Consider the following 12,333-nt stretch of genomic DNA (forward strand, 5'->3'; position numbering starts at 1 on the left):
TGAGAATTATAGAATGTTCTACACAAGGCCATCTAGACCTCCCTAATTTTGCCTTATTCAAAGAGATTAGTATTTTTGCATTCTTACCTTTTCACTGAAACACTCAAGCAAGTCTTGGACATACCCTCGCATTTCTTGCAAAAATTTATACCGTTCACCAATACCCCCAGAAGACCCTTCTAATCTTTCAATAGCCCTGGTAGAGTCCACTCGGCTTTGCAGATGTTTCTCATGCTGCTGTCGATTTGTTTTGTGCAATTCTTTCATGGAGTCCAACCTTAGGAACACAAAAGGATAAATATAACACATTTACATCCAAAGGTCTATGGTGTCAGGACTCTTGCAATATTAAAATATGCATTTAGCTCCACTATTAGAACATAAAAATATTTGGAATGGCATCTTTTCCTCTGTACTGCTTTTTTTCTCAAAAAACAAAAAATGGCAGTTTACAGATTTCACAGTTTTGTGGGCTAACCAAAATCTCACTGTTTTGCTTTTCCCCCCATAGCGTGACTACACTTTTTCAGAGTCCAAGAGGTACAAACTCAGAAATGTCTTCAACAAGATCATGGAGTGGCATTTTTTATAATTTTTCGAGGCTTCCACAGAAGTAATCCAAGAAGGTAGCAGAACAAAGTATGAAGTCATCTTCTGTTTAGCTTTTGAAGCTGGGCCAGTGAATCTTCTTTGCTGATATTCTGCATCTGCTACCCCAGACTACATGTTGCCTGAGGGAACAGAAAGCTAGCGGACAGGTCTTTAAGAAGTTGATCTGCCCTACCTGTCTTTAAGCTGTTTCTTTACCAAATCAATAGTAACGGGAGTCATCTCATTACTGGGAGTTTTGAAAGGGACTGTATTATCTGTTTTTTGAGATTTGGCATCTGATGATCCATAGGCCGTATAACTATAAGGAATGCCATAGGATGAGCCGTAAGGCATTGTCTGGTAAGTGTTCTGGTAGTACATATTCACTTCTGCGGGTTGACTGGCTTGAACCTAGAAAAGAAATGGGATATAGATGAAATCTGGTAGTTAAAACTTTGAAAATAATAATATGCCTTTAGGGTTAAAAAATCAACAGCAAAAATTATACCTATTTGCCAAATATTATGTAATAATTGCAGAATTCTTCAAAATTAGATAAAAGCAGGATTGAATGAATGTCCTATCTCTTGGTGGAATCACTAAATTTATTTCTAATAATTTTCAGAAAAACAGAGTTCAGAGTTGGAAGAAACATCAAAAATCATTTAAGGCCACCTTTGATCAATGAAAGAGGATAAATGCCTTGCCCATGGTCACAGAATCAATGGGCAACCAGAGATTAGAATCTAAGACTCCTGACATCCAGTCCAAGACTTTCTCTATTGTGCCATTTTCTTAACTTCACCCAAATGTATGCGAATTCTGCCTCAAAACACTATTAACAAAAATAGGTTTACGTTTATGCAATTTTTCTCACTGTATTACTTACTTTTATAAAACAAATTGTTATAACTGGGAAGATATTTTTCATCGATCTCAAGTTTTTTGTATTATTGAGAAATCCATCTTCTTCAAAATAATTCTTAAAGTCCAAAAAAATAAGCTACACGCACAAAAACATTCCATTTAAAGCAATGGTTCTCAAACTTTAGTGTGCATCAGAATCACCTGGAGGGCTTGTTCAACAAAGATTGCTGGCCCCACCACCCCAAGCTTCTGACTCTGTAGGTCTCTGGGGGCTGATAATTTGGTAATTTGCGTTTCTAATGAGCTACCGGGTAATGCTAATGCTAACTGAAGGACCACTTTGAGAAAAACTCATCTAAGAAATTGGAAATTCCTCCATCATTCTGACTGCAAAAAGCCGAACACACTGCAGTTTCTTCTAAAAGCCTACGTGTCTCTGTGTGCGTGCGTGCGTGTGTGTGTGTGTGTGTGTGTGTGTGTGTGTCTCCTCATGGGATTTTGTTACTTGAAATGAATGACAAAGATTCAATACGGAATTTTTTACTTTAACAAAATAAAAAAGGCTTTTTAATCTACTTTTAATTTTTAGTTTAATTCTTTTGTCGTACCTGAGGGATATTAATTCCTTTCCTTATCTGCTCCTGTTCCCATCGGCTGAGCTCTTCATCCTGTTCTCCAGTTACTAAAGCATCATCATCACTCCCCTCAATTCCTACAGCCATGAGCAACAAAGAAAAGTAAGTAACACCCAAAGAGCAAAGAGGTAAAAGATGCTGTCCTGACATTTCACAAGAACTGAGCAAAACTATTAACTCAATCTTACTAAAATGTCTAATATGATCTCCTCTCTCATTTGGTAGTCCTGACTTTGCCTGTTTTAAACACAGTATTCCTTGAAGCTAAAGGCAGTATTAATGTAATAGTTAAAATCTTGGATGTGTTTCTTAATCTCTGTAAACTTGACATCAACAAAGGGAACAAAATCTAATGCCTCCTAGGAATATAGAACTATATGAATTTACGCATGTAAACTGCTAAGCACAATACCAGCTGCACAATAAATGTTCAATGAACATGAGTTATCACAATGATATTAGTTTTTAAAAATTCCAATAAAACACTTGTACCCAAGAATAGTCCTCTAACATAAAATTTAGTAAGTCTAAATACTTTTTACTTGACTATAATATCAAATCACATTTAATAGCATTAGAGGCCATGCATGGTGGCTCATGCCTGTAATCTCAGCACTTTGGGAGGCTGAGGCATGGTGGCCCATGCCTGTAATCCCAGCACTTTGGGAGGCTGAGGCATGGTGGCTCATGCCTGTAATCCCAGCACTTCGGGAGGCCAAGGCAGGAGGATCTCTTGAAGCCAAGAGTTAAGACACCAGACACAGTGAGACCCCATAACTACAAAAAAATTAAAAATAAAAAAATTAGCCAGGTGTGGTGACGCACACCTGTAGTCCCAGCTACTCGAGAGGCTGAGACAAGGGTGACTGTTTGAGTCCACGAGTCAAGACACTGCAGTGAGCTATGATTGTACCACTGCACTCTGGCCTAAGTGATGGAATGACACCCTGCCTTAAAACAAACAAAAAAAGGCAATGCAATAGGCTTACTATTCAATTAAATCAAGTTACCTATTTCCTCAGCAATTTTTTGTCTTTGTGACTTTTCTTTCACAGAAAAAACTATCCGGCGTTTCTCATCGTCATCTTCATCATCACTGGCATCATTCTCATCTTCTCTAACAAGGCGGCCTTTACCAGGCTCATTATCATGAGGAGTGAAATCTCCCAATTCTCGGGCCATTTGGCGCTTTTTCCTTGCAGCATGTATAAAAGCTGCATCTGGAATTTCTCCTAGAAACAAATGGTAAGAATATGGCAGTATGAGAGATGCAAAGTTTCTATTTTCTTGAAAATATGAAGGGTAAAATAATCCAAGATAGCCTCATCACAGTGATGTTTCAGCTGCTGGCACCTCCTTCCCATACTATGTCTGCAATCCAAAAGATTGTTAATTGAGTTTAAATGGAATATAAAAGTCACTGAGGAAACTAAAAAGAACATATAATGGTAATATATATGGGAAAGAGTGGGACGGGGTAAAAAGGAAAAACCCACCAAAGCAGTTTTATTTTAGCTATAATTTTTTTTTTCATTTTTAACAAATAGAAGTGGCCGGGCACAGTGGCTCACACCTGTAATCCCAGCACTTTGGGAGGCTGAGGCAGGTGGATCACCTGAGGTCAGGAGTTCAAGACCAGCCTGGCCAACATGGTGAAACCCCATCTCTACAAAAAATTAGCCAGGTGTGGTGGCGGGCACCTGTAATCCCAGCTACTTGGGAGGCTAAGGCAGGAGAATCGCTTGAACCCAGGAGGCAGAGGTTGCAGTGAGCCGAGATTGCACCACTGCACTCCAGCCTGGGCAACAAGAGCACAACTCCGTCTCAAAAAAAAAAAAAAAAAAAAGTAATGAAACTGTATTATGATGCTGGAAAACAGATAAAAATAATATAATCTCATGACCCTGAAAAGGCACTATATGATGTATAGTACATTTCTCTTGCAGATAGTTTTTAGTTTACCTGTAATCATACTAAATATTTAATTTTGTACCTATTTCTCATATCATAATAAGTTTTATTCCATGTTATTGTTCTCCATAAACATAATTTTTAATGGTTTAACATTTTCTGCATAGATAAGGCATAATCTACCGCACACATTAACTGACCTTTTGAGTATAGCAAAAATTAATGCCTCCCTACTTGCCTAATTGTTAACAGTTACATAATATCCTATCAAGTAAATGTACTGTAATTTTCTAACAAACCTTTCCCCTCCTGCTAGACATTTTTTCCTAAATGTTGCTCATTGCAAATGTTCCAATAAAAACATGGTTTCCTTGGGATAAATCTCTAGATATGAAATTACTGGGTCAAGAGTAAGAACATTTTGAAATCTATTGATTCATATTGCCAAAGAGCTTCCCATAAGGACTGTACCAATCAGACTGCCACTAGTGATGTATGTATAGAATTTACTACAACTTTCTCAGCCCAGAGTAGCATATTTTTAAATTGTATAAACATTAACAGGAGTTAAATGGTACTGCTTCATAATTTAAATCTGGCTACTAAGCACTTATTTATTCAAAGGCTGATTAGCCAGTGGATAGACCTGCAAACTATTTTTTGCAGAAAAGTAAAAAGGAGTGTGGACATAAAACTAACAGAAATTAGGCCGGGTGCAGTGGCTCACGCCTGTAATCCCAGCACTTTGGGAGGCCGAGGCAGGCGGATCACCTGAGTTTGGGAGTTCAAGACGAGCCTGGCCAACATGGAGAAACCCCATCTCTACTAAAAATACAAAAATCAGCTGGGTATGGTGGTGCACGCCTGTTAGTCCCAGCTACTCAGGAGGCTGAGGCAGGAGAATCGCTTGAACCTGGGAGGCGGTGGGTGCAGTGAGCTGAGATCGTGCCATTGCACTCCAGCCTGGGCAACAAAAGGGAAACTCCGCCTCAAAAAGCAAAAAAAAAAAAAAAAAACTAACAGAAACTAGTTTTGCTTTTAGCAGCAGTTCAGAAGAAAGTTAAGTCAGTCTTAATCTGAAATACATTAAAAAGGACTACAGGACCATTTTTCCATTTACTTGAAGACTTATTTGCAAAATACAATTACCTGTCTGTGAATAAACTTGGAAAAGTTGGGAAACTTCTGGTTCTCCTATTTTTTATATTTGCAAATGGAAAAACTCCCTCTTCAAACAGCAATGTCATAATAAGAAACACCACTCAGCTAATTCCTTCTTAATAATCATCTTTAAAGATGGCCCATTCTTGAGGGTTTAGTTTAGTTCTGAGAAATACTTTTGAGTACACACCTGGACGAAGAACATTCAATGAAGATAAAGCATTTGAAAAAGCTCCACCAGTCTTTGGCTTTTCTTCCTCTTTTTCACTTTCCATATCCATTTCATCTTCACCATGTTCACTGATGATAACTCCATCTTCTTGATTTGTATCCTTAACATGTCCTGTTTTGTCCAAAGGTTGTTCACCTAAATTTTTGAAGAATTAAAATATATGTAAAATAAAATTCATAAATTAAGAAAGTTTATTCCAATGGTATTGACATCATTAAAAATTTTTTTAATTAAAAAAAGGGGAACTTTTCATTCAATTATGGGCTCAATCCAGTAAAGCTTGAATTAATTGTTTGTTAAAAACTCATAACTCTTGAGTGTGTGAGTATGAAACAGCATAACAGACAGGATTAGGTAAAAATAATACAGAGGATGTAATAAAGGATGCATTTGAGGCCCTGCTCCATTCCACCTTCAGTTAATTTTATCAAAATGTCAACAATTTATCAAAATTAACTGTTTTTTCTGCTAAACTCCCACAAGGAACTGCTTGTACCTCTTTCAAGCATTACTTCATTTTATGTTAGTATTTCATTAAACCCTAAGCCCATGCGAGGCAACTCTGTTATGAACAAAGCACATTTACAGTCCAGCTAAGTCTCTTAGTAATGGACACTTACATGGAATACCTTCTTAGCTCAAAACCACTTGTCACCTATCACCTAAAGAGATGAGATCCCAGCAGTCACATTTACACTGTGCAAGCCTGACCCCACTACCACGACTCAATGTTTAAGAGTGGACTTCTGACTGAAGCAGAGATAACCAGATTCTCTTTCTGGGAATCTGGAATCAGGACTGAAACTAAAGGCTACATGAATATGTAAACTAGGAAGGGAGCTGAGGAATGGCCACATTGTGCCATCTGGACAGAGAAGAGAGCCTCCTAATTCTCAGTTCTAATCCACTCCTGAGGCCCATTTCAAGATTGCTTTCCTGCCATTGTCATCCAGGAGGCACCACTACATCTTAATGATAAACTGTCCTGGTTTACATTACTTACAATTAAATAATCCTAATACAGCCTCTGTCCCAGGCAAAAATCGAAGTGCTTCACCTTGAAGCACTGAACCTGGTAATGCTCACAACAGGCACAAGGAATATACTGAAAGAGTAAAGCAAAAGTTTATTCTCAATATGAAAGATATTTTTCTGTCATTTCCTTAGAATGTTCCTGTCCCCAAAACTGCTTCAAACTTCTTCCTTCTTCTCAAACCATACTGTACTCCCTTAAGTAACAGTCCCAGAGATAACATCCCTCCCCTCTTTTTAACTTTACCAAGAAGATTTTAGGTAACCTCTTTTAGGCTCTTTCATTTTTTTTCTTTTTTTTTTTCATTTACCATTTTCTCATTACCCAGACTTCCCTCTGAAATGGATTATGAAGCTATAAGGTTTTAAAACTCACTTTATCACATTATTAGATGGAGTAAAAACTACCTATTTCCTTTTGCTCTAAACCCATGCTAGGCCAGGCATGGTGGCTCACGCCTGTAATCCCCTGGGAGGCCAAGGCGGGTGGATCACCTGAGATCAGGAGTTCAAGACCAGCCAGGCCAATATGGTAAGACCCTGTCTCTACTAAACATACAAAAATTAGCTGGGCTTGGTGGCGCACACCTGTAGTCCCAGCTACTCAGGAGGCTGAGGCAGGAGAATCGCTTGAACCCAGGAGGCAGAAGCTGCAGTGAGGTGAAATCGCCCCACTGCACTCCAGCCTGAGCAACAGAACGAGATTCCACCTCAAAAACAAAACAAATTTACCCATGCTAAACCAATGGCTGTTAATGGACTAAAAACAAAAGCACAAAAGGTCTACTACATCAGATATGCTCAGATAATGAATGATTCCTACAAATTTTAGGATTCAATGTTTCATTAAATTCACAAGTATTTGCTTATGATTGAGCAAACACAAGCCGAAAGCATGGTGATATGTGAATGTCAGTGGTCACATGTTACCCTTCCAGACATCTCTATATAGATGTTAAATAACCTTTTTCAAGGCTCCACTCATGCCTTCAATTTCATTTACTACTACTTCAGGAAACCTGCTCACAATTATTACCCACTTCACCTTAAACCTGGTCAGGCTCTCCCTCTCCTCTTCTACAAAGAGGGACAGGCTTCTCTTCATCAAAAGAGCTTTCCCACTTGACTCCATTGGTCCCTCTAGTTATTGCCTAGTCTCTCTCTGCCAAACTTCCCAAGGAAGCAGTGTGGACCTGCTGCCCTCTACTTCCTCTCCAACTTTTGTGCCTTGACCCTACAAACAGCCTTTGATTTCACCCAACCTAACCCAATGGCTGCAGCCACGGCTAATTCATATATGATAGCATCATCAAGCAATTTAGCAAAAGATGTTCCTTCTTCCAAACATCTCTGAGGGCACTGGGTCTGGCTGGTGGGCCACTCCCATCCATCCTGTCAGAAGCCCTCAAGAGAAACGCTGGGCAATCTTGCCAATAGCCCCTCCTTGGTCCTCACTTTTCCTGACTTTTCTTGTACTAGTTCACACAAGCGACCATCATCTTCCTGAAACATTCTTCTCTTTTCCTCTTTGGCCTTCCTGATTCTTTTATCTCTTTGGTAAATCCCTTCCTCTACATGTAGGCTTACTAGAGTAGAAGTCTTTGGTCTTCAGGAATTTTTCCTTTATATACGGCTCCCTCATCAATTCCATTCACCTTTAATTATCACCGCAATAAGCACCACCCCCAAATCTACATCTCTAGGTATTCACTGACTACTTCCACTCAAATTCAAATTAAAAAGAGAACTCATTATTTTAAGAATATCAGAAAAATGGGGTTCTCAAGTCAATACCGTGGTTATTTTGAAGTTAATTGTCTCTGCCTACTATAGAGGGTTGAAGGTAGGAAGAGTTCTGGATTGCCAATTAATGACAGACCTTCATTTCAGTGTTACCAATGACAACCTACAATACAATCAGACTCCGCCTTCAGAGGACATTAATTGGAGTTATCTAGTGAGTGGAGTATCAGAATTCAATGAGGATAGAAGGATGGAAGAGGTCAGAGATGGCTTCATCAACTTCACACTTGTTTCAATTTCTAAACCCAACAATAAATGGCAACTAATATGGTTTGACTATGTCTCCATCCAAATGTCAACTTGAATTTTATCTCCCAGAATTCCTACGTGTTGTGGAAGGGACCCAGGAGGAGGTAACTAAATCATGGGGGCTGGTCTTTCCCGTGCCATTCTCATGACAGTGAATAAGTCTCACGAGATCTGATGGGTTTATCAGGGGTTTCCGCTTTTGCTTCCTCCTCATTTTCTCTTGCTGCCGCCATGTAAAAAGTGCCTTTCACCTCCTGCCATGATTCTGAGGCCTCCGCAGCCACGTGGAACTGTAAGTCCAATTAAACCTCTTTTTCTTCCCAGTCTTGGGTATGTCTTTATCAGCAGCATGAAAACAGACTTAATACAACAACCATGACAACAGGCCTTTCTCAGTTGTCACTTATCCTGACCTTTCTTTTACTCTCATCATATATAGTTGGTCTCAAGAATTCTGAGGAAAATAAGGCAGTTTCCTAGACTCCAAAATAACCAGTTCTCCTAAAAACATTCCTCCTTCCACTTGCCTTCTCTATTCCTATATATAATTATTCATAACCAAGACACCCTATGGTTTGAGTGTCCTCTCCAAAACTCATGTTGAAATTTAATTGCCATTGTAACGTTATTAACAGGTGGGGCCCTTAAATGGCAGTTACAACATGAGAAGGTGAATGCCATTATCCCAGGCTCCTGATAAAAGGATGAGTTTGGCAGGATATTCTCTCTCTGTCTTGGAGACTCACCTGCCCTTCTACCATGTTATGACAACATAAAGGCCCTTAGTAGATGCCTGTGCCATGCTCTTGGCCCTCCCAGACTCCAGAACTGTCAACCAAATAAACTTCTATTGTTTATAAATTACCTAGTCTGTAGTATTGTTACAGGAGCAGAAAATGGATTAAGACACTCCAGGACAAAAGTTCAAATTTGACTCTTTCTTTTAAATCCAATATGGCAAAGTGTATATTAAGCCTATCAATTCTTCCCTTGGAATGGTTCTCAAATCATTCTTTCTTTCCACTTCTCCCCCTAAAACAACAGAAAACATTTTTAACTCATCCAGAATTTCCTACTAAATCAGTAGAAGCCTTTACTCTTGCTCAACTGTGAGACCTTTTTAAACCCACTATTAATGGATCAAAGCTGGCCCTTGAGTTTAAACTGCTTTAGGCCTCCAATCTCTCCTCATGCTGCATGTTAATACCAGGCTAAAGTTTCAAAACGCATTTATCATGTCACCATCTTGGCAAGCCACTGTAGCAAATGTAAACCCTTACTGGATACTGAACATCCTTCACAATCTGTCAACGTATCTTTCACATGAAACTTCTAACTACTTCCTTCACAAATCATCTACTCTGACCTGTCAGGTGTACTTGTTCTTTTCCAAAACAGCTTTAGTCATTTTAATCCTTGATCATACCCCCAATACCTTCCCTTTCGGAATTTTAACTATCAAAGATCCATCTTCGAGTCCCACTTTTTCCATAAAGCAGTCCTCTCTCCTCTGAAAGAGTAGCCACCCTTTGGAACACTGATTGAACATTTTGCCAAACACTGAGTCCTCTTACACATTTATGAGATATTGTCTTCACATCTAGATTGTAAATTTGAGATACAAAGCCATACTTTTTCACAATAAGCCTGTAAGTGAGAATCTGGAAAATCATGATTTTCTCATTAATTCCATAAAATAAAATAGCATTTGCAGGAGAATAACTCAGACCATAGAATATTATACTGGATCCACTTTCCTAAAGACAAAATAACCGCTTAAAATTTTTTAAACTGAGGTTTTGAGAGACGTAAGAGATGTCTGTACAATATACCTGCCTCATTATTCTAAGGAGTCTTCATCTAGTATCAGATAAGGCTGCTGAATGGGAGTAATACTAATATTAAATTTAGGGCATTCCTAAAAGTTCTCTAAGAATAAAATCCACTGTGGAAATACCACCAAAGAAATCGCAAATCTGTCTCTACAAAATACAAGAATTTGCACAACACTCCTTCAAACAGAAATAAACCTGTGTCTTAGGCTAAAATGAGAAACCTTCTTTCTCTGTTCAACAGCAGTCTGCACACAAGTAGGAAAACTGTGAGAGAATCTAGTCATTGCAGCAGAAATGTTCCAGTGGCAACAATTCTGTCTTCTTATAAAATACATTTACAAAGCATCTGTGTTACAATTAAATAACAGAACTGTACTGCTACTCAATAAGGGCCCTTGACAACCACAGGGTCCACTGAATGAGTTCAGAAGATATACAGCAAATCACTGTGAGAAAGAGCTTTCATTTTGTCATTTCAAAAGAATTCAATTAGTTTGGTACTTACTTTCAGCTGATGAGTTGAGTTCTGTCTTAATCTTCGATTTTTCAAGATCTTCTTTATATTCCTTCTTGAGCAATTTTACTATCTTTTTGCTATAACTTGATTTCTTCACTTTGAAAACTTCTTCATTTTCTTAAAAAGGAAATTAAATGAAGTCTGTAGCAACTATTTTCTGAAAATATTTTCCCTTCTTTCACATGATCTTACGTGCTGTCCAAATTATCCCAAATATATATACTCATATGCCAAAATCATTGTATAATTATTTCAAGTCTGTCACAGACTCAAAAACAGAGGTCAACTTCCTAAATTACTGTGAAGTAATGAGATTTTTGAGACTTTTTAAAGGAATAGCACATGTAACTTCACAAAATTTTCCTATTATTGTCGTCCTTAAATCATCTATTTGAGAGGGGAAAAAATCATTCAAAATGTTTCTGAAAAACCACATCACCAAGTTATTAACGAATCCGAAACAAAATATCTAAAATAAAAAGGTGCTGTCAATTCTGAGTAACTACATCCACCACAAGCTGACATAGTGGTTTTAAAGCTAAGGTAAGGGCAAATCACTTTTCTTTGATTTGAAATTTTAAAAGTACTAAATACTTAAAAAAAAATAGCTCATGTATCTCAAAAACAAAAATCTGTCTGTACTCCTCTCAAACCAAATAAAGAGTAACAGAAATGCCAAAGATAAACTACCTACCTTACTGGAAACCTCTCGAATAAAAATGCAAGATTTACAAAACTTAATTTCTTTTTTCGTAACATGGAATTAACTGGGTTATGCACATTCAAATGGTCAGAAGAAAAGATTTAAGGCTCATTTAAGATCAGCAATCTAAAACCACTGCAGCCTGGCCTCCCACAGGAATTGGAGAAACTACCTTGCTTTTACTATTTTTACACCGTCTCGCTTCACTGTTCCCAAAGTCAGTGCGAAGAAGGCTGGGTATCTGCTACCCCTAATTACTTTTATGGGTAAACTGAGGCTCAGCGACTGCAAGGGACTGGCCCAAGGTCACTCAGAACCAGAGCTGCAACTCCAGGCTTCTGTTCCCTCTCCTAGTATTCCTTTTTACAAACTCGGCCTTCATGGTCGAGGATGCCTGGACAGAGCATCCAAGAAGTGTGGGCGCAGTGACCTGCAGAGGGCTCGGAAAGCATGCCAAGAGCAGCCAGGGGACCCACACCAAGTTGGCCCTGAAACACGCCAGGCAGAAAAGAGGCAGGACAGGGAACACCGAATTTCCCCTGAAACACTCTGAATGCCTGATCTGAGCTCCGGCCCCGTGGCAGAGGAGGTGGTTAAGAAAAGGCTGGGGGCAGCGCGGGAACGCGTCCCTTGCCCGAGCAGAAGGCCGGAGGCTGGGGAAGATTCGCAGCCGGTCGGACGGCAGGGGACTCCGTTCCAGGGCTCCGGGGCTGGGCGTCCAGAGAATACGGGGGCGGGGGACGGGGGCCTGCGTCGGGGATGCGGCCGTCTAAGGGCGTCCGAAGCGCGCACTTTAC

At 39.2% G+C, this 12,333-nt stretch overlaps 1 protein-coding gene across 7 annotated transcripts in view; it reads right to left on the bottom strand.

Annotated features, from left to right (window-relative positions):
* The window catches only part of PAXBP1 (PAX3 and PAX7 binding protein 1), a 37,857-nt gene that overhangs the window by 25,094 nt on the left and 430 nt on the right, over positions 1 to 12,333 (bottom strand). For all 7 annotated transcript variants that reach the window (NR_027873.2, XM_006724066.3, NM_016631.4 and 4 more), the window contains exons 2-7: positions 10,822 to 10,950; positions 5,356 to 5,532; positions 3,104 to 3,325; positions 2,067 to 2,170; positions 785 to 1,002; positions 88 to 277 (exon numbers count right to left, since the gene is read on the bottom strand). Coding sequence is in view for 6 of the 7 variants with exons in the window: in XM_006724066.3 (XP_006724129.1) it covers positions 88 to 277; positions 785 to 1,002; positions 2,067 to 2,170; positions 3,104 to 3,325; positions 5,356 to 5,532; positions 10,822 to 10,950 (1,040 nt within the window). In the remaining variant the exon portion in view is untranslated. The remainder of the gene's footprint in view (positions 1 to 87; positions 278 to 784; positions 1,003 to 2,066; positions 2,171 to 3,103; positions 3,326 to 5,355; positions 5,533 to 10,821; positions 10,951 to 12,333) is intronic.

The sequence above is a fragment of the Homo sapiens genome, chromosome 21, assembly GCF_000001405.40.
Source record: "Homo sapiens chromosome 21, GRCh38.p14 Primary Assembly".
In the NCBI taxonomy this organism is placed as follows: domain Eukaryota; kingdom Metazoa; phylum Chordata; class Mammalia; order Primates; family Hominidae; genus Homo; species Homo sapiens.